This window comes from Homo sapiens, chromosome 12 (genome assembly GCF_000001405.40).
Source record: "Homo sapiens chromosome 12, GRCh38.p14 Primary Assembly".
Taxonomy (NCBI): Eukaryota; Metazoa; Chordata; class Mammalia; order Primates; family Hominidae; genus Homo; species Homo sapiens.
Window position 1 is genome coordinate 87,420,396 of NC_000012.12, and position 21,713 is coordinate 87,442,108.

At 38.3% G+C, this 21,713-nt stretch overlaps 1 long non-coding RNA gene across 1 annotated transcript, besides 1 other annotated feature; it reads left to right on the forward strand.

Annotated features, from left to right (window-relative positions):
• Positions 995–2,194: an enhancer, noted in NCBI's record as "BRD4-independent group 4 enhancer chr12:87815167-87816366 (GRCh37/hg19 assembly coordinates)". NCBI's record gives its function as "activates an origin of replication core promoter dependent on BRD2, P300/CBP, MED14 and CDK7 cofactors, and independent of BRD4, by STARR-seq in HCT116 cells {active_cell/tissue: HCT116}" and the evidence as "EXISTENCE:reporter gene assay evidence [ECO:0000049][PMID:35650434]".
• On the forward strand, positions 8,757–20,206 carry LOC105369880 (uncharacterized). Its single transcript, XR_945160.2, has 3 exons — positions 8,757–9,025; positions 9,993–10,115; positions 19,914–20,206. It is a non-coding gene; the product is annotated as an uncharacterized LOC105369880 (long non-coding RNA).
• The last annotated feature ends 1,507 nt before the right edge of the window (positions 20,207–21,713 follow it).

The following is a 21,713-nucleotide window of genomic DNA, read 5'->3' on the forward strand; positions in this document are numbered from 1 at the left end:
CAGTCAGGTTTCTCTGCTGCAGGTCTGCTGGAGTTTGCTGGAGGTCTGCTGTAGACCCTGTTTGCCTGGGTATCACCAGCACAGGCTGCCGAATAGCAAAGATTGCTGCCTATTCCTTCCTCTGGCAGCTTTGTCCCAGAGGGGCTCCTGCCAGATGCCAGCCAGAGCTCTCCTGTATGAGGTGTCTGTCAATCCCTGCTGGGAGGTTTCTCCCAGTCAGGAGGCATGGGGGTCAGGGACCCACTTGAGGAGGCAGTCTCTTTTTTTTTTTTTTTTTTTTTTTTGAGACAGAGTCTAACTCTGAAGCCCAGGGTGGAGTGCAGTCGTGCAATCTCAGCTCACTGCAACCTCCACCTCCTGGGTTCAAGCAATTCTCCTGCCTCAGCCTCCCAAGTACCTGGGATTGCAGGTGCCCACCACTACACCCAGCTAATTTTTGTATTTTTAGTAGAGATAGTTTTACTGTGTTGGCCAGGCTGGTCTCAAACTCCTGACCTCATGATCCACCCACCTCGGCCTCCCAAAGTGCTGGGATTACAAGCATGAGACACCGTGCCCAGCCGGCAGTCTGTTTCTTAGCAGAGTTTGAGCACTGTGCTGGAAGATTGGCTGCTCTCTTCAGAACTGGCAGGTAGAAGGTTTAAGTCTGCTAAAGCTGTGCCTATGTGTCCGGAGTTGGTTCCTTCCGGTGGGTTCGTGGTCTTGTTCACTTCAAGAATGAAGCTGTGGACCTTCGCGGTGAGTGTTACAGCTCTTAAAGATGGCACGGACCCAATGAGTGAGTGGTAGCAAGAGTTATTGTGAAGAGCAAAAGAACAAAGCTTCCACAGCATGGAAGGGGACTTGAGCAGGTTGCTGCTGCTGGCTGGGGTGGCCAGCTTTTATTCCCTTATTTGTCCCCTCCCATGTCCTGTTTCTGTCCTATCAGAATGCCCTTTTCTCAATCCTCCCCATGATTGGCTACTTTTGGAATCCTGTCGATTGGTCCATTTTACAGAGCGCTGATTGTTCCATTTTACAGAGTGCTGACTGGTGCATTTTACAAACCTCTTGCTAGCTGCAGAGCACTGATTGGTGCATTTTACAATCCCCTTGTAAGACAGAGAAGTTCTCCAAGTCCCCACTCTACCCAGGAAGTTCAGCTGGCTTCACCTCTCAATCCCCCCTCAAAACAGGACACCCTAATTGCTGTTGGGAATTGGGTGATGACCTCTCTAGCTACTTCCTGCTGGAGAGGGGCAAAGAAGGGACCCTGCAGTTGTAGTGTCCTCCAGAGGGGAACTCTCTAGGCCAGTCAAAAGGCCAGTGGGTCATTCCAGGGGTCCTTGGTAGAAGTTGTGAGTCGAGCTCATTTGGGGTTCCATTTGTAAGACCATCTGTAGCTTGATGGCCTCAATCCTGGAGGAAACAAATTTGACAAGGAGGTTAAAAATAAAGGGCTGGAAGGCGAGTAATCACAAGATGGCTGTCATGGGACCTAGAAAGGGGAGAAGCCATGTCGCCCAACTCCAGAGGTTGGTATCAGAGTTTGAAAGGCGTTGTCTGATTTCAGAAGCCTTTTCCTGTAAACACTGGGCAAAATCTCATACTATCCCTGATCAGTTAGTGTAAAAACAACATTCTTCCCCTAAGAAGGTGCAAAGTCCTCCTTTCTCAGCAGTGAGGAGGTCTAGGCCTCAGCAGTTTTGGAGAGTCACTGCTGCCAAAGAGTCTATTTGGGATGTGGTGATTGGTGCATTTTACAAACCTCTTGCAAGCTACAGAGTGCTGATTGGTGAATTTTACAATTAACTTGTAAGACAGAAAAGTTCTCCAAGTCCCCACTTGACTCAGGAAGTCCAGCTGGCTTCACCTCTCACCCACAGCCGCCCTTCCCCCAGGTGCTCTGTCCCAGGTAGTTGGGAGTTTTATCTATTAGCATCTTACTGGAGTTACTGCCTTTCTTTCAGAGATACCCACCCAGAGAGGAAGAATCTAGAGAGGCAGTCTGGCTACAGCGGATTTGCTGAACTGCAGTGGGCTCTACCCAGTTTGAACTTACCAGAGGCTTTGTTTAAACTGTGAGGGGAAAACCGCGTACTCAAGCCTCAGTAATGGTGGACACCCCGCCCCCCACCAAGCTCGATCACCCCAGGTCAACTTCAGACTGTTGTGCTGGCAGCAAGAATTCAAGCCAGTGGACCTTAGCTTTCTGGGCTCCATGGGGGTAGTATCCACTGAGCAACACCACTTGGCTCCCTGGCTTCAGTCCCCTTTCCAGGGGAGTGAATGGTTCTGTCTTGCTGGCATTTCAGGTGGCACTGGGGTATGAAAAAAAAAAAAATCTCCTGCAGCTAGCTCGTTGTCTGCCCAAATGGCCGCCCAGTTTTGTGCTTGAAACCCAGGGCCCTGGTGGCATAGGAACCTGAGGGAATCTCCTAGTCTGTGGGTTGTGATGACAATGGGAAAAGTGTAATATCTGGGCTGGAGTGCACTCTCCCTCACGGCAGGATTCCTCATGGCTTCCCTTGGCTAGGAGAGGGAGGTCCTCAACGTCTACCACTTCCCAGGTGAGGTGACTCCCCACCCTGCTTTGGCTCTCCCTCCGTGGCCTGCACCCACTGTCTTACCAGTCCCAGTGAGATGAGCCAGGTACCTCAGTTGGAAATGCAGAAATCACCTGCCTTCTGTGTTGATCTCACTGGGAGCTGCAGACTGGAGCTGTTCCTATTCTGCCATCTTGCCAGCCTCTCCTCATAGTAATTTTTTCATTTTACTAATTCATAGGATTCAGGAGCAAATAGAAGTAAGAAAAAGTTTTCACTCTTTCCAAAGGAGAGGGATTTAAAAATTTTTCTTTTAATATATAAAATCAACAAATCAGGACATGAAAACAAATGAGCATGGCAGAGTTATAGATATGTTTACATATTTCTGAACATATAAGAAGAGAGTCATCCTGCAAATTTTTATCATTTTATCAATCCATTAATTAATATGCTGCAATACTATTTTCTCTTCTTTTTCAACTGCATGCCCTCTTCTAACTTAACAATCAGACAGAGACAAGTTGATGAAATAAAAACCACATCTGTTATTTTATTTACAATCATTTAATATAAGAAATCAATTAAATACATTTTAAAGAATATTTTTTAAGTAACACTGAGGTAATAAAAATCTCCTAAGTTCAGAAAGCATTTACCATCACCGAAGGGGTGGGGGAACAAAGGGAAAGAATTGGTGCTGTTAGAACCAAGGAGTCTAGAAGACGATCAGAAGATCCACAAATGTGAGACATAGGCCCTTGAAAAGGTCTATGCCTGGTTTGTGCTGTTACTCTTTGAAGGGCACACAATGAGGCTAGTTCTGGAAGTGTGAAAGTAAGAGAGCAATAAGGGAACTAACTGCTGCTGCCAAGAGGCAAGGTCATTACTAGTTTTCCAGTTTCCCTTTAGCTGGAACCCTTATTGATAAACTGTAACAGGGAGTCCCTTGGGAAAGAGAAAACATAATTGCCAAAAAGCATAGCCCCTGTATTACAAAGCATAGAATAAAGTGAGGGTCTCTATATGTGAGATAATAGCTTAATAACTAACAAACTCTCTTCCCAACTGAACAGGGCAAAATATGGCTGATATAAATATATATAATTCCAAGCAAAATGATACTTGCCTAAACCTTTAACAAACTTTAACCAGTTATAGATCTGAATATAGCCTAAATATAGATACATAATTTGCAATTACTTTCAAAAACTAGTCAAATGTCAATCATTTCCCATGACTAATGTAAATGTATAGTGGACTTACTTTTATACCTGGCTTTGTTGTATATAAAGTGTACCATTTAGATCACTTATAAATTTTTTGCCCTGAAAGTTTTCTGATGGGGAAAACGTGATTTACAAATGCTTTCCATGTTTTTATACAGGTATCATGTGGACCAAATTAGAAAATACATACTAAAAAGTTTTGATATTTACAAAACGTACATTAAAAAGTGGGCAAATGTTATTACCTTTAAAAGCCATACAAATGTTTAGGCAGAAGATAGCAATGTAAACAAAGGCATTTGGCTTTCTTACCATTCTGTTCCTGGATTTCATTCAGAGAAATCTCTTGTGCAAAAGGTCTGTAATCTCAGTGCTAAAACTTACCAAAGATGTCTGCTGGGTCCACTGCAGGTGGGAAACCTCCAAGGGGTGATCTACAAGCATACAGCTGGAGAAAGTACAGCATCCATGATGGTACAATTCAGTAATTCTTACCATTTTAGAGGAAAAGACACTTTAAGCAAAGCAAATATGTTGGGTAGAGAGAAACAACTAATTTACCACTTTCTCTGCTAAGGATCAGTAGAAATTGAAAGCAGTAGCAAAAAATGCTTTGAAACTGGTTTCATGGTTAGAGCCAAGAGAATATCCACAGTATGGAAAGAACTTAGAATGTAGGTCAGTGCCAGCTTGCATCTGGTGGTTGGGCTGGGCAGAAAGGAAATGGTATTCATGAAGCTGGCTTTTTGTTCAAGAGCTTCATGGAACCTATAGAAAACCTGATGCAGAAATTAAGTTACCCTGAGGTGTAGCCTTTGATAACATCAAAAATCTAGTTCTAGACACTTTTCTCCCAGGAAGTTGAATTACTGAGGTAAAAAAGTAGTTATTTTTTACAGTAGCTTCTCTTTTGATTAAAATATGAGAAGACAGCACTTTGGGAGGCCTAGGCAGGCGGATCATGAGGTCAGGAGATCGAGACCATCCTGGCCAACATGGTGAAACCCTATCTCTACTAAAAATACAAAAATTAGCTGAGCGTGGTGGCACATGCCTGTAATCTCAGCTATTCGGGAGGCTGAGGCAGGAGAATCGCTTGAACCAGGGAGGCAGAGGTTGCAGTGAGCGGAGATCACACCACTGCACTTCAGCCTGGCAACAGAGACTCTGTCTCAAAAACAAAATAAATAAATAAATATGAGAAGAACATACTGAAAGAATAATTTGTATAATGAACAAAACCATGATATAAAGATATAATGAACCATCATTTTTGCTTGTTTGCTAACAGAGATCACAGGGAAATTATCCTCATTCCCAGAGTGAAGGAATTATGTTAAACTCCCAATCTAAAAACCCCAAACCAAGCAATAACAATAACAACAACTACCATCACAACAAAAATGTGCAACTATGAAACTATATGTAATTTAGTTCTCAAGATTCAATAAATGTATATTTTGAAAAAATACAAGAAGAAAATTTAAAATCTATAAATGACAATTTTAAAAATAGATATTAAGAAATCAAGAGGATTTTTCTTTCTGATGAAGATGAAGTAACGAGGACTGAAATCACCTTTCCACTAGACACAAAAAACCTCCCTTAGCTCTCCTCCACCTTATTCAGATAAGCTTTTCAAAGCCAAGACATGTTAAAAAGGTTTAAAGAGGAAAAACTATAAAAATTATAAACTATAAAATATAAAATTAAAAACTATAAAAAGGGCAAGGTTTTAGCCTGTTAACTTCCTTTAAAATTCAAGAGGGGGAAAATTGTTAAGTTCTGAGCTCTTCCTCAGAGAACAATATGTCAGTATGTTCAGCTTCCCTCTTCTTTGTTCTCCATTTTAAAGTTTAACTTCCTCGTTCTTTATGTCTCCTTGCCCCTAGTTTTAGTAAACAACCCCCTCCTAGCTTCTATCACCTGCTCTGTCCTTAGTCATCCTTAGTCACCAGCTCTGTAACCACCCTTCCTGCCAAAACTACTCACTCCACCGCTCTGGCTCATACCCCTTCTCTCTTTAAAGTAGCCAACTGGAATTAGCTTAGACTGTGCAGTCCAACCCTAGCTAACAGGGGAAAGACACAGCAGTAGGAACTAGCTGCATCAGGAATAAGAACCCCATCCCCTCCCTTGTCCAGTGTGCTCTCACCATTGCTCCATCTGTGAGATGCACTCTCCTATAGAAGAAAATTGCCTTGCTGAGAAAACTTTGCCTGAGTGCTATTTTCACTTTGTGGCATCAAGCATTTACTTCCAATGTCAATTCTACCCAAACTGACCTATAGATGTAATATATCCCAATAAAAATGTCACCAGGATTTTTGTAGAAATTGATAATCTGATTTTAAAATTCACATGCAAATGCAAAGGAACTGGAATAGACAACATGACTTTCAAAAAGAATAAAGTTAGAAGTCTAATGCTGCCTGATTTTTACTTATTATAAAGCTACCATTACTAAAACAATGTGGCATTGGCATAAAGCTAGTGACCTAGAACAATGAACACAATAGAGAGTCCAGAAATAGACACACTTATATGTGGGCAATTTATTTTTTACAAAGGTGCAGGGGAAAGTCAGTGGAGAAATGATAGTTGTTTCAACCAATTATTATAAAATAATTGGATATCTCCATACCAAAAAGAAAATAAAAAGAAAATGAAAGTTGTAAAGAGGCTAACACAAAATAGAACTTATACCCATAATGAAACCTAGAAATATAGAATGACTAGAAGACAACATAAGAGAGTATCTTTATAACCTTGGTTTTGGTAAAGACTTCTTAAATAGAACAGCACAAAATAAAAAATCACATATTATTGCTTCCTCAAAATTAGAAATATCTGTTCACAAAACACACTGTAAAATAATAGACTATCATAGACTGGGTAAGAAAATTTTTGTGAAATGTATCTGATAAAGGACTTATACCATGTATAAAGAACTCAGAAATTAAAAGAAAAAGATTATCCAACAAAAATGGGAAAAAACATTTGTTTGGATACTTTACAAAAGAGAACATATGAATGGCAAATAAGCAATTAAAAGATGTTACACATTATTTAAAATGATCATAATCTTATGTTACTTTGTGAAATAATGTGGTTAGATTTTGCAGCAAATCATTAAGCATTACCAATTCAGTGGAGAGATAAGCTTAGAACCAGAAGTGAATAGAAATTTCCAAAAATCCTAGAAGCTGAATTTTCAGAGGATAAAGAAGGAAGAGATTTGAGCCAATCTTTTTTAATCTTTTCTATGTCTTAAAGTCAGGAGAACCCACTGTAAACTAGATTATATGGTTTAGATACAGAAAAAAATGTATAAGAATGATTGGCTGTGGTTAGCTCTATAGGACGTGATTATGATTGACATATATACCATCATATTTTCACTTCTCTATATATCTCATTTATCACAATGAAACTATATTATTTAATAATTAAAGATAATAAATTTAATAATTTAAGATGCCTTTTAAATATTCCTAATTATAAAAATACATTCCTATCAAACCAAAAAAAGCATATTAAATTATCTAACCCCATTTTGGAGACTGAAGTCACTGATAATAAAATCTTAAAATATGTATGAACACACATAAAAACCTGAGGGCAATTTTATTTTCTACCCTGTCACTAGACATAAAGAAAGTAGCACCATTCAAACAATATCACTAGTTACTTTGCCTTTTATTAACAATAGGAACTTATGAGATTGATAGAATGCCAAACCACAGGTGAAGGGCGCAATCAGTCTCAGTAGACATTTATCAGGAGTACATTGCAAAGCAATTAAGATTACTATTTAAATTGGTGCAGTTCATCTCCTTGGAATGAAAGGGCACATTGAGAATACAAGGGCCACACCCAGTTTATAAGTGTTCTTAAGGCAAGTCAGAACTAGCACACATTGAAGGGATGAATAGTAAATGGACAAACTACTCAGCAATACCTGATGAAGAAAGACTGAATGAAAAAAAGTATTAGGGCTATTTAAAAATCAAATTTACATCAATTTTAAAAATGGAATCTTTGCACTACAAAGAACAGGTTTATTTAAAAACTTTTAATATGTTTTCCTTTGATTTGATTAATTGAATATACTTAAAAGAGTTCACAAAGACAAAGTAGGGATTTTGATTGTCATTCAATAAAAAAAAAAAGAATCCTCATTTCAAATTTGCAGACTCCTGGTATGCAGAAGATCTGCCAAGACTTCTTGATAAAATGTCATCATAGTTCAGTCACAAAAGAAGAATAAGCACTAAGCAGAGCAAGCTTCATCGTTATGTTACCTGTGCAGTTACACAGAATCCTGAGTTTAGCAGGACCCACACTTGGTTTAATGCTCTGCTATATTGTCTTGAAATTCTTAATATTTTCTGTATAAGGCCTATATTTTTATTTGTACTGGGTCCCTAAAATTATCTATCCCATTCTTAGAGTCACAATAACTAAAGTGAGGAGATGAGGAGGAAAAGGATTCCAAGCAGAACAGAAAATGGGCTAAAATCAGAAATTCCTGTAGCACATGACTTCATAAAAAATGAAAATAGCACTGTATTCTTACAGATCAAAAGGAAAAAATTGCATTTGGCAAGGCCTGTGCACTAATGAAAAAGTCAAATTATTAAGTTCCTTTTTAGGCCAAATTACAGATACTGTTTCAGTTCAAGAACTCCAGAAAGCAGATGCCAAGATATAATTAGAAATGTAAAAGATTTATTGCCAAAAATGCCAGCAAAACTTTATAGTAGTTAGGGAAAACCTTCATACCATAATGCAAGGCTGACATTTGAGGGAAGAAAGGGAGATTGTTTAAGAAGAGTTGAAGAGTGTTGTACAGCACCAGTGAAGTCTTACCCAGGCTGCCCACTACAGGAGTCCTGTATTGGTTACTAATAGTCCAGTTCTAGAACTTTTCCACTGTGCTCAGTCATTGGCTGGCAGCAGCTTGGAGAGTGACTCATCTTGGTGTGGGCCCTGAGGAAAATCCTACAAATACATATTGACAGCTAATGTTACCCCTGACAAGTTCTCTCCTGAAAAGAGATTTGAGTACAGTTTTAGAGGTTTCAAATCGGCCTTGTTAAATCAAGTTTAGCCTAAAGCTGTCTCCTTTTATATTTTAAGTTTGGCCTAAAGGTTTTGTTATGGGCAGGTCTTTGTTGTTAGAGCTTCCAAGATGGTGGCAAGCCTTTTGTTCTCAACCTGGGGTTCTTGGACTCACGGATTCCAAGGAATGGAAATGTGGGCCATGCGGTGAGTGTTACAGCTCTATTAGAAGCTGTGGGTCACGGAAGAGAACCGTGGAACCCAGTGACCAGTGTTCAGCTTGATTAGGACGAACCTGGGCACTTAGCCATGCAGGAACAATGGTGAGCCTTTAGCCTGATCGGGAGCGGCAATGGGCGCCTCACTGGATCAGAAATGCAGCAGACACTTTGCCGGATCCAGAGGGGTGGAAGTCAGTGGCAGGTCTGCGATGGCGGCAAACAGCAGTGGTGGACAATGAGCAAAAGCTCAACTCAAGCCATAACAAACACAGACCAGAAGAGTGTGCAGTTGCAAGATTTAATAGAGTGAAAACAGAGCTCCCATACAATGGAAGGGGACCCAAATGGGGTTGCCCACTCCCGGCTCAAATGCCTGGGGTTTATATCCCAATCATTGTCTCTCCCCCTGTGCTCTCAGGTGATACATGATTTGACTATTTATTTGCTTCCTGCTTTTAGCCTAATTTGTATTTTAGTGAACCCTCTTTACTATCTCATTGGTCGGATGTGAGCTTAGTTACAAGCCCGGTGATTAAAGGTGGGTGCGTTCACCTTCCCAGCTAGGCTTAGGAATTCTTAGTTGGCCTAGGAAATCCAGCTAGTCCTGTCTCTCAGTTTCTCTGTACATAGTGAACTATAACCTAAATGGAGGTCTAAAGAGACTGTATAACCTACTTTTGTGCAGTCACCAAGTTTTGGCCAGTCAAAGGGGACCGACTGTTCAAACCATGTTCAAATAAGGCAAATGGCAAGCTGTAACCAATTTGGCTGTTTGTGTACCACACTTCCATTTTCTGTACATCACTTTTCTTCTTCTGTCCATAAATCTTCCACAACATGGCTGTGCTGGAGTCTCTCTGAATGTACTCTGGTTGGAGAGACTGCCCAATTTGTGAATAGTTCTTCACTCAATTAATCTCAGTTAAATTTGGCTAAGCATTTTCTTTCAACAGGTGGTGTCAGAAGTGGGATTTGAAGTAGAGCTTCCAGAAACTTCCAGGAGCACTGAGTGACCAGGCAAGGTATCTGCCAGGCCCACTGTGTGGATTGTGCTCTTGCAGCAACTGGGGATCATGGTAAGTGCTCTCTCAGATTTTAAAGCTCCACAGATTTTTGTTTTGAGTTCCCTGAGTTTGAGAAAATTTCTGATCCAAATTGGGTATGAAAGTTACAACAGGGACTGTTCTGGGTCCAGGATTGGAGTGGATCCAACAGTTAACTGGCTTGGATCCAGTTAGATGCCTCTTATGTCTGACTGAGTCAGAGACAAAAAAAAAAAAAAACACAAAAAACAGTAGTAAATGGCAATATTGCAGTGGGTATAAACTTCAGCTTCTGGAAATTTGCAGGGATTATTTTGTTCTATCCCCATTTTTTTCTTGCATATTAATGTAGGGGAAAAATCATTGGCTAAGTTGATCTGAGAGCTAAAGCCAATATTTGAGGTAAAAATGGGGTCCTTGATTTCTGAAAAACTGAATACCTTCTGGCTTGTACTTGCATAAGTATTAGGCCCCAGAAATAGCAAAGTCTTACAGAAATGGTAAAATCTTACTAAAGATCATTTAAAGTTAAAGTAGAACATTCCAAATGAACCACATTGTGCTTGAGGAAGTGCATTTGAAAATTAGGACTCCTGAATTAATTTCATCTAGCGATGTCTGTTGATATGCAGAAGCTCCTGAAAAGATTTCAGTATTTTTATTTAAAGACTCTTTATAAAAGGCAAATAAAAACTTAAGTGACTAATTGATAAGAAAAATTAAATCTGCTAACCTTTTGGCTTAGGTGCTATTCTACCTAAAGGTGAAAAGAAAAACCTCTTCTAAATAAAGTGTTTATAAAACATAGGCCCTCAAGTAAAATTGCTTCTTTTTCAGATCTATCCATGAAGAGGCCAGGCATAAAGAATGCTTTCTTTGCCCCATTCTTTAAAGGGCTCTACCCTGAACTCAGTAATTTTAGTAATTTTGACTAAGAAAAAGTAACTAAGTTAAAAAGAACACCTATCAAACTAAAATACAACTTTTTGTAATTTAATTGGCTATCTTGAAACCATTCTGTAAAAGAAATGTACATCTACAAAGGAAATCTCCATTTTTAAGGATGTCTGCCTATGTGCATTAGAAACTCTTACCATTGTTTTAAATTTATATAATAAGTCAAACCTTTGTATAAGGTGCTTTTCTGGCCATCTCATCTTGATGAAACTTTTACTTGACACCACTTTTTTTCTCTTGGTTTGTGCAAATGACACTGTTTAGGCCTAAAATCTTAGCTCTGTATTTATGAAATACAAATTTCTTGTTTCACTTAAGAGTTGTCCCTTCAGGAATGCCTTTTTTTCCCCTTAGTTAACAATTGCTTAGAGCAATGAAATGGGTAATTGGAGGATTAATAGTCTGAATGCAGAAAAGAAAAACTAACAGCTGGCTAATGATAATTCTTTATGAAAGCTATGAGATTTGCTTATGTGTGTTTGTATGTCTATATATATTATGTGTATGTGATTGTTGATGAAAAAAGTTAAACTCTGTAAAATATTTTAAGAGATTTATTCTGAGCCAAATATGAGTGACCATAGCCTATGACACAACCCTCAGAGGTCCTGAGAACATGTGCCCATGGCAGTTGGGGTACAGCTTGGTTTTATATATTTTAGGAAGGCATGAGACATCAATCAAATACATTTCAGAAATACGGCAGGACATGGTGGCTCACACCTGTAATCCCAGCACTTTGGGAGGCCGAGGCGGTGGATCACAAGGTCAGGAGTTCGAGACTAATCTGGCCAACATGGTGAAACCCTGTCTGTACTAAAAATACAAAAAATAGCTGGGTGTGGTGGCTGGTGCCTGTAATCCCAGCTACTTGGGAGGCTGAGGCAGGATAATCGTGCTTGAACCTGGGAGGCAGAGATTGCAGTAAGCCGAGATCGCACCATTGTACTCCAGCCTGGGTGACAGAGTGAGATGCTGGGGAAAAAAAAAGAAAGAAGGAAGGAAGGAAGGAAGGAAGGAAGGAAGACATTGGTTCAGTTCAGAAAGGCGGGACAACTCAAAGCAGGGGCTTCCAGGCTATAGGTAAATTTAAACATTTTCTGATTGACAATTGGTTGAGCTTATCTGAAGACCTGGGATCAATGAAAAGGAATGTTTAGGTTAAGGTAAAGGATTGTGGAGACCAAGTTTTATTGTGCAGAGGAATCTCTCAGATAGTGAACTTCAGAGAGAGAGTAGGTTGTAAAATGTTTCTTATCAGACCTAAAAGGGTGCCTGGCTCATAGCTGATTATCTCCTGGGTTTTGGAAGGAAAGAAGAAAGGAAAACAAAGGGGAAAAGGGATATAGAACGTGGGTTTTTCCCACAAGAGACTTTGCAGGGCAATTTCAAGGTATAGCTAGGAAATATAATTTGGGGTAAAACATTTTGATTTTCTCCTTTATTATGCCAGAGTCAGATTGGAAAGTAAGTCATGACATACAGGGTCAATTAAAACCAATCTGATGAGAATTTATGATTTTGTAGGGCATGACTCTCCAGACCCCTTAGGTTGGCATTTGGGCAAGATAAAAAATCAGAGTTTAGTCCTCACCAATATGGCCCCTTCTTTCCTGCTTTTCCTGTTTTGTCTCCTGGCTGTTTTGAGAGAGTTAGACAGGCTCTAACCTTCATAGATGTGGTGACTGTTCTAAATTGCTGTAATAGTTTATGACCAATGTTTGGTTTGTCAAACCCATATGCTTGGAAAGACGATCAAACTTCAGGTACATTTCTGCTACCCAATGTGCCACTTAAACATTTATAGAAGGATTTGAATTGAACCTTTGTCATGTTCAGTGCATGTTTTCTGGTTGTAAGAAAGCTTTCCCATGCAAAAGGGCTGATGTTGTAACACTAGCTCATATACCAAAGTGTACTTTCACCAGATTAAGAAAGCTTTTTATGGTCTCCTGACTGAGAACAGTCAACTTCTTCACAATCTAGAACCCAAAGATTCAATCTTCTGAGAACATCATAGAAAGATTGCCCTTGCCATCCACACTGAAGCAAAACTTGGGAACGTTGAACCTTGGGTTCATAATCTTACAACTCAGAAGGTTCCCTCCACACTCTTGAATGTATAGCCATTGGAAACCTTAAGGTAAAGCTAATCAGGGAAGTTTATCCCCAGTCTCCCCAGAAGCAGACGGCACGCTTGACATGGACAACTTTTTTCCCAAGACCATGAATCAAGATATCTTTGCTCTCGTGAGATACTTATCTTTCTATTTTTTTAAAAAATTAAGCCTATATGAACTATAGAAATGAAAAATAAGTCTTTCATGTGCATTTGTGAGGTATACTTTTATTTAAGAAAAATTTTGTAGCCAGCCTTATACATGACAACCTTTTGCCCTGATAGGTGGAAGACAAAATGTCAATGCATGTGAAAATTCTTAAGAATATATCTGTTGCCTCATAATCAGTCTGAAACAGAATATTGGCTCACTCATCTTGACATGCATCATGGGTTAAAGCAAAGGTTGCCAAGAGGTCTTCGTTCTTCTAGATGGACATGATTTATTAGGTCTTTATGTCATGGTTTGGAGTAAATGAGGCAATGATTAAAAATTTAATTCCTCATGATAGGCTGTGTAGGAGATTTTAATATAAAGGCTATGGTTACACAGCAGACTTCAAATTACCTTGTGAAAGTTATACTAAATAATAGACTTGTTCTAGATTACTTACTGGCTAAACAGAGATGTATTTGTGCAGTTGTTGGCATGTCTCATTGCACATGGAGAAATACATCAGTATTATATTCAATTGCAGGGAATTAGCAAACAGACTGGTTGGATAAAGCCAGTAGACTTTTACCTAACTTATTATTTGATCTATTTGATTTTAGTGTGTTGGGTTCATGGGTACCTTGGCTAAGGAGCATACTCCAAACTCAATAGTCATAATAGTAGTCTCTCTGGTACACTGCATTCTCTCAAAAGTCTACAATGTTTGCATGCAGCCATCTACAGAATGTCAAACTGTATATCTTCACCTGGAATGGAAAGACCTGAAAGAAATGTGTGACCATGTGGGCACCATAACCTATTAATGACATGCTAAGACCAGAAACCCAAAATGGTGGTAACTGAGAGTGCTGCTAAGGCCCTAAGTTTTGACCATATGCTCACCAAAGTGAGAACTTGACCAAAAGGGGGGAAATTTTAAGCAAAATTGTGGAAGGCCTTTGTTTCTGTCTGAGCTCATGCACTAGACCCCAACAGACCAGACCAAACTAAAATAGGATCATTTATGGTATATGTGACATAGTCAAACTAAGACTTTAAGGAAACAGATAGATCCTAGAACAGACCAGTTTTTGCTTTTCTCCTGTAAATAGGATATTCCAACACAAGGAGGGATGCTGTACAATAATTGTTAAAAAAGAATAACCTGAAGTCTTTGTTTCCACCTTAAAAAACCCACTGTTCTGCTATTTTCCAGAGCGTTTTGAGACCAAATAAGTACAGAGTATTTTGAGACACAATAAGTACATTTACGATGGTGATAGTAACATCAATAACTAAAGTTTTGGTCAATCTCAAAATTTAGAGGATGACCAAAATTGGGGAAATGTTAAGTTTAACCTAAAGCTGCCTCACGTATTTTAAGTTTGGCCTTAAGGTTTCTTCTATATAGTGAACTATAATCTAAGTATAGTTGTAACAGACTGTAATCTATTCTTCTGCTAATCACCGAGTTTTGGCCAATCAGCTGTTCACACTGTAACCAAATAAGGCAAATGCCAAGCTGTAACCCATCTGCTGTTTGTATACCTCACTTCTATTTTCTGTAAATCATTTTCCTTCTCTCCATAAATCTTCTGCCACATGGCTGCACTGGAGTCTCTCTCAGCCTACATGGGTTGGAGAGGCTGCCCAATTCGTGAACTGTTCTTTGCTCAATTAAACTCAGTTAAATTTAATTTGGCTAAGGATTTTCTTTTAATACCCTTCTAGAGTTTGGTCATTCTTACCTGAGAAGCCAAGCATCCAACATGGTGGTTATCCAATAGCCAAGTGTGTCATTCCAATTATAGAATTGGAAATTGGCAAAATAATCAATTGTTGGATCTCTTGACACTGCAGAGATGGTCTAAGCTGAATTTTAGCCAGGAATCCATTTACAACATGGCTGTCATATGTCACCAATCAGGAGGTTATGATTATGCTTTTTATCTTCAAGTATTAATGTCAACTAACAACCTGGGTCTAATTGTCTTTCAAATGTTGTGATACTTCTCTTTCCCCAGCACTCACTCAACAAAGTAAACGACCATAGATTCCTCTGGGGAAGTACTAGAGGAATCTTTGTAGTATGTACTTGCTGTTGTATTATAGGATCGTTCCTCCTGTAAACTTAGATATCTCCTTTTTCAGTGGTATACAGACTTTAAAATTGACTCAGGCATGAAAACTGAGCAAGAGATTGAGACTTCATATCTGGGTTATTGTCCTCAACCTATTGCTCCTTCACTTTTGACTTCTGATTGTAGATATTAAATAGAAAACTGGGTAATTGCCCTGCTATTTGTCCCTAGGGATGCCACGTTCCATTAACTATCTACACAACCACCTGTGGGTCAAGACTTCTTGAGTATCCCTTGACATTGACAGTCATTATAAAAATTATCACCCCTCTGCCTTTGGATAGTTAAATACTACCACTACCAATAACAGCAATTTCTTTTGGGACCCATCATCCCCATTGTGCCATTTAATAAGCCAATTTTGGGTTCTAAGGCTGCCTGTCCTACTGGCAGCCTTGACTTACCTATGAAGCAACAGTGAACTTCATGATATAATTGCCAGTACCTTTTTCACCAGCATGTTTTTGGTGATCTTGGTGAAAGTTGTGTCCTCTGGGTCTTCTTCTGGAGCATAATGCTGTGGTGACTCATATAATATAATTATTTCAGCTAGCCCATATTTCTAAACCATATTATGATTTCTTCTACTATCTGACATTTCAACCCAAACATCTTTTACTTTTGCTCAGCATTAGCCTCCACTTACTCCATTCTTCTAACATCTATTCTAGTCATAAATTCTCTGTATCCCATGGAATATCTGCCAAGGTGTTAAAGCCTATGTCCCAGATATGTTCCTCTAAGTTGATTTATTCTTGTTTATCCACTCTTATATTCTAGTTTACCTAAAAATTTGATGATATATTTAGCTTGTCTTTACTGATGCCTATTTTCTCCTTTGGTAGTCATATTGAATAGAGTCTAAGTTTCTCAGTATATCTATCTTTGTCTTTCTTCTCTATCTCTCTCTCTCTCTCTCTCTCTCATACCCTTTTCTCTAACAATATCTAAGAAAACAAAATTGATAGGTTTCTCAGCTTAAGGCTATTCTCTGCCTCTTTAGATTTACTATGTAGGAGTCAAACCCATTTCCAATCACTGTGGGCACATAAATTCTCTAATAGCTATTTTCAAGTTTGCTTTTCTTAGTTTGAGATAAAGAAGTAGGAAACTTACTCCTTTCTTTTGAATGGGGGCAGACATCATTAATCACATCAATGTGACAATTATCTCTAAATAAATCATTTACTTCAGATCCTCTGTAATCTTCAACTTTAGACCCTTTCATAATACCCATGTGTTTGAGGACTTTAAGAGTCATCTAAGCCCTTCTCTCATACTTAATTTTTCAATGTTAACTTTAGGTTAGTACCTCACTTCAGGTTATCCATATGCATTTATCTTGATGTTTCAAGGTACTTCAAATTTAACATCAGTTACAATTGCATGGAGTAATTTTAGCACTTTCAGTTAAGTGACAGATTGCAATGAGTATGAGGTAAAAAATGGAGAAAGCAAGAGTAGCCTACTTTGTCAAGAGTGCTTACTGTTGCTAGAAGGGGATAGGTAAACCAGTATATGAAGAAGTAATGGAGTTTCTCAAGGGAGATTGTTTTGTTTTGCTTTATTTTTTAAATGTAGGCAATTAAAGTATGTTACATTATTTTGAGAAGGAGCAAGTCAAAAGAAAAAGATTGTTGATAAAAGAGAGAAGATAATGTATAGTCCATAATCCATATATATATACACATATATATATATACATATATGTGTGTATATATATATAGAATCATTAGGATTCAGAGTACTGACAATGTAAAGGAAAAGCTAAGGAGAAAAACAGACAGGTCATATATATATAAGCAAGTTAGTAAGACTGATAATCATTCCTCTTTTATTTCTTCTCCTTTCACTCTAAAGTTGAAGTTGAAAGCATCTCAAATGATTGAGAGATAATTTTAAAAGGAAATTGAAATAAGTTCCCTGGAGTTTGGTAATTTATCAGTCATCAACTGTCTGATGTTTTCTTCTCCTCAGAAAAAAAAATAAAATAAACCTAAGAAGCTGCCTGAAGCTATCAGTGGTTATATGGTGTGGAGTCAGGATGGAAAACATTGTACAAGCTGCACTTCCATTTGACATTATAATAATATGTGAGCTACTTAAGAGGTAGAAAGCAGAAAAGTATGTAGCTAAGAGATATGGGAGAATTAAATCTAAAAAAGCTGCACTTCTGAAAAAGGGGAATGGGTAAATCCTATGAGCGATGGTAGATGGGAGATGGGGTGCAGTCATTAAAGATAGCCAAAGTATTGGTGTTTTATTGAGTTTAGCATGGGAGAGTGTCTCTGCAAAACTCACTAATATGCTGTATGAAATAATTTGGATGCTTGTCACAATGCAATGGAGAGCATAAGGGCCAACAAGAGTCAGCCAAAAAGTAGTTAAAATCAGCATAACAACATAAAAATATCTAATACATTTCCCTCTCCTCAAACTTGGAGTACAGATAAGATTCAGATTGGGGAAGAAAATGAAGCCAGAAGAGAGAAAAAACAATAGCTAATAGCCTTTCCTATTGTTTAGCCTCTGATTTTAATAAAGGGAAACAGGAGAAGACTTGAATGGAGTATACTCCATGTAATTATTTATATTTACATTTACATTTTGTAACTTAAAGCTTTTTAACACTAAAAATTGAAAACTAGTCGTCTATATTTCCTTTACTGCATTCATTCCTGCATGTAATCAATAGATATTTAAGCTCTACTATGTGGCAGATACTGGGATATGCACTAATGGCATAAAGATAAATAAGAAACATGTTGGTTCTTGAGAAAACTATAGAGGGATATATTTAGCAAACTCAGTTGTTGGTCAGTTATACCTAAGAAAAACGTACTAAGAACAACTTTCTAAAAGAAATAAAGCATGAGTAACATCTTAAAAGATAAGTAGAATTTCAGCAACTAAACTTAAATGATTTATTCAAAGAAAAATGCAGAAAAATTTCAAGCAAAGTGTTCAATGTGAATAAATAATAATAGACATATATAACCTCTATAACCTGGCTCTAGTTTGTTTAGAGAAAGCTTGTCCAACCCATGGCCTGTGGGCTGCATGTAGCCCAGGATGGCTTTGAATATAGCCCAACACAAATTTGTAAACTTTCTTAAAACATTATGCACCACTGCCTTTATTTTTATTTTTTATTTTTTTCAGCTCATCAGCTATTGTTAGTGTTAGTGTATTTTATGTGTGGCCCAAGACAATTTTTTCTTCAGGGAAGCCAGAAGATTGAACACCCTTGTTTAGAGCAAGAGTCAGCAAACTTTTCTGTGAAAAGCCAGAAAGTATTTTAGGCTTTGCAAGTAAAATGGTCTTTGGTGCAACTACCCAACTCTGCCAATGTAGGCAAAAAGCAGCCATAGAAAAAACATAAGTAAATAGATATGGCTGCATTTCAATAAAATTTCACGTATAAGAACAGTTGGTAGCATGGGTTTGGTCCTCAGACTATAGACTACTGATCCCTCTTCTAGAGCATAGAAGCATCGTTTTAATTTTAGAGTTTGAGGTGCACTTTTGAAATCACTTTTACAAAAATCATGACTGTGATAGAGATTTAACATCGCTAACTCCATCTTGCTTCTAACCTCACCAGTTAACTGCTTTTGTTAACTTTAAAAGACTAATGATAGTAATACCTTCCTGAAACTAACTTCCTTTTTGCTTGTGGACTAAAACCACCTCTGTAAGACTAATGAAAGTGTTATTGGAAAGGGGTCCTGATCCAGACCCCAAGAGAGCATTCTTGAATCTCATTCAAGAAGGAATTCTGGGTGGATCCACAGTGCAAAGCAAAAGCAAGTTTATTAAGAAAGTAGAAGGGTGAAAGATTAGCTACTCCATAGATAGAGCAGGGCTTTCTCAAAAGAGGAGGAACGTGCCCACCCTAGGTACAATGCTTGTTTATATATAGGATAACAAAAAAATATCATAGGGAGATGTGCTCTACTACAAGGGTTTGTGATAAAGGATTAACTTTATAATTACTATGTTTTGCAAAAATTGATATTATCTTTAAAGCAAAATTAGGAATGTTTTTGTTCTCAAGATATTGGGGTATCAGGACTTTCCTGGGACTGGGTCTGTTTAGTAAACATTATTGCTCAGTTCCCTTAACCATAAACATCTAGAGGCTGGGAATGCCTAGTCTCCTGGGAACCCAGCCCAGCAAATCCCAGCCTTATATTTTCTAGCCCTCATTCAAGATGGAGTATCTCTAGTTGGAATGCCTCTGACAAAAGGCCAAAGGTTAAGATTATGGGAGAAGCCTCAATTCTACTAAGATGTAGGCATAGTTAAACAATAACCAGCTATTGTTCCCTAGCTTGCTTTTCTATTATTGCCCAAGACTCATGTAGCCGTGGGTACAAGATTAATCGTTTCCTTAATTGCTTCTATAGATAACATCACTATTTTCAAAACCTAAGACTGATCTTTGAGATATTTTTCAGGCTTTTTCATTTGGGTAAATGAACTGACTCCAGCCAGACTTGTGACTCATACCAAGGAACTCACTCAACTGGTCCTGTGACCTCACCCAGAAACTGACTCAGCACATGAAGACAGTTTGGATATTCCTATAATTTCATCTCCAACCAATCAGCAGCACCTGTCATCTAGCCCCCTGCCCTCCAAATTATCCTTAAAAACCCTAGCCTCCAAGCTCTCAGAGAGGCAGAATTGAAAAAAATCTCCCATCCTTCCACTCCCCTTGAAATAATTAAACTCCTTCTCTTATATGAAACACTGTCTCAATGAATTGGCTTTATTTGTGCAGGGAGCAATAAAAACTCCTTGGGCTGTAACATTTTGGTGACAAACTGGATATGCTGATAGGCATTATGAAGATTGGAAGGTGAATGCTCTGTGGAATATTTCTCTCTAATCAGATATTTGCATCCTAAAACAACTAATTACACCTCCAAACCTATTTCCCATATCAATCAATGATATCCCCTTATATTAGTCAGAGAATATCAGAAGTACTTTTTCTTCTACAGTTCATAGCTTATCTTACTTTTATACCTTAGCAGCATCATTAATATAACAGAGGAAACTCAGGAAAGAATATTTGATATGAAAGAATATTAAGGACTATACATAGCTTTTGTGTTCTAAGAAATTTAAATACATAATATAAAAATTCCTTGATCTAGAAGGCCTTGGTGCTGCCTTAGGAAGTTTGCCACAGGAAAACTCAAGAAATGTTAGGAATGGTTGTCCTACCCACCCCCATGTGTTCAGGCCACTGTGTACTGTGAAATGGACAGAGAGGGTGGTTGGGAGGAAAAATGTAGACATTGCTGTAAAAGAAGGGACCCTATTCAGAGAAGGTTTGCAAGGTAGCTCTTCAACATATTGAAAAATAATCCCTAAACTAGGATAAAGGAAAACATAAAATGCTTTTCTTTTCCACAGGGTAAGAGTACTATAAAATGTAGAAATCTTGACCTTGTAGGAATGGAAAGGGGGTATGTCTTTTATCATAAAGGGTGACAGTCAACACTTCTCTAACAAAAGATCAGTTAACAAGAGAAAAGAATAGCAGATTTATTTGATAATAGCTTTCTAAGATATGAAAGTCTTCAGAATAGTGACCCAAAAGATACAGGGAAAACTGTTCAGTTTTTACACTTTGGGTTTTATGAAGCAGGGGCAACTGTGCAGATATGTGATTGAACAAAAGAGTCTGAGCTAAGCAGATTGAGTGGGAAAACTCAACAAGATCTGTGTGCTCAGTAATATTCCTCTTTGATTCTCCCATAAAGGAAAAAAAAAACCAGAATTCCCCCACACTTATTTTGCAAAAGAGAAGATTACTCCTGGACACTGAGCCATTGCAACACCCTCTTCCAAGTGAAGAGCTGTTGCTAACGTTATGCATCAGCCAGATTTCCACAGAAAGGTAAAACGATCTTGGCCATCTGCAAAGGACTGTCCCAAGAGATCAATTATAGGCAAATTCCTTGTTGGTCTCCCATAAACGAGGACATTTCAATGGTAATTTTAGGTCTAGAATCTAAGTCTAGCTCCTAAAACTAAAACCTGTTCAATTCCACACTGAAAATGTCCATTACAAGCTTACCTTCCCAGATGCAGAACAAAGTCAAGACTCATTCCTTCACCTCCCCAGAGATGTTTACGTAATCGACTCTTCCTTTACTACCTTTTTCTCTTAAGACACTTACTTTATCTCATGTAAAATGTGTATTTACTGGGGACTAAATAAAGTCTCCCAGGAATGTAACTAT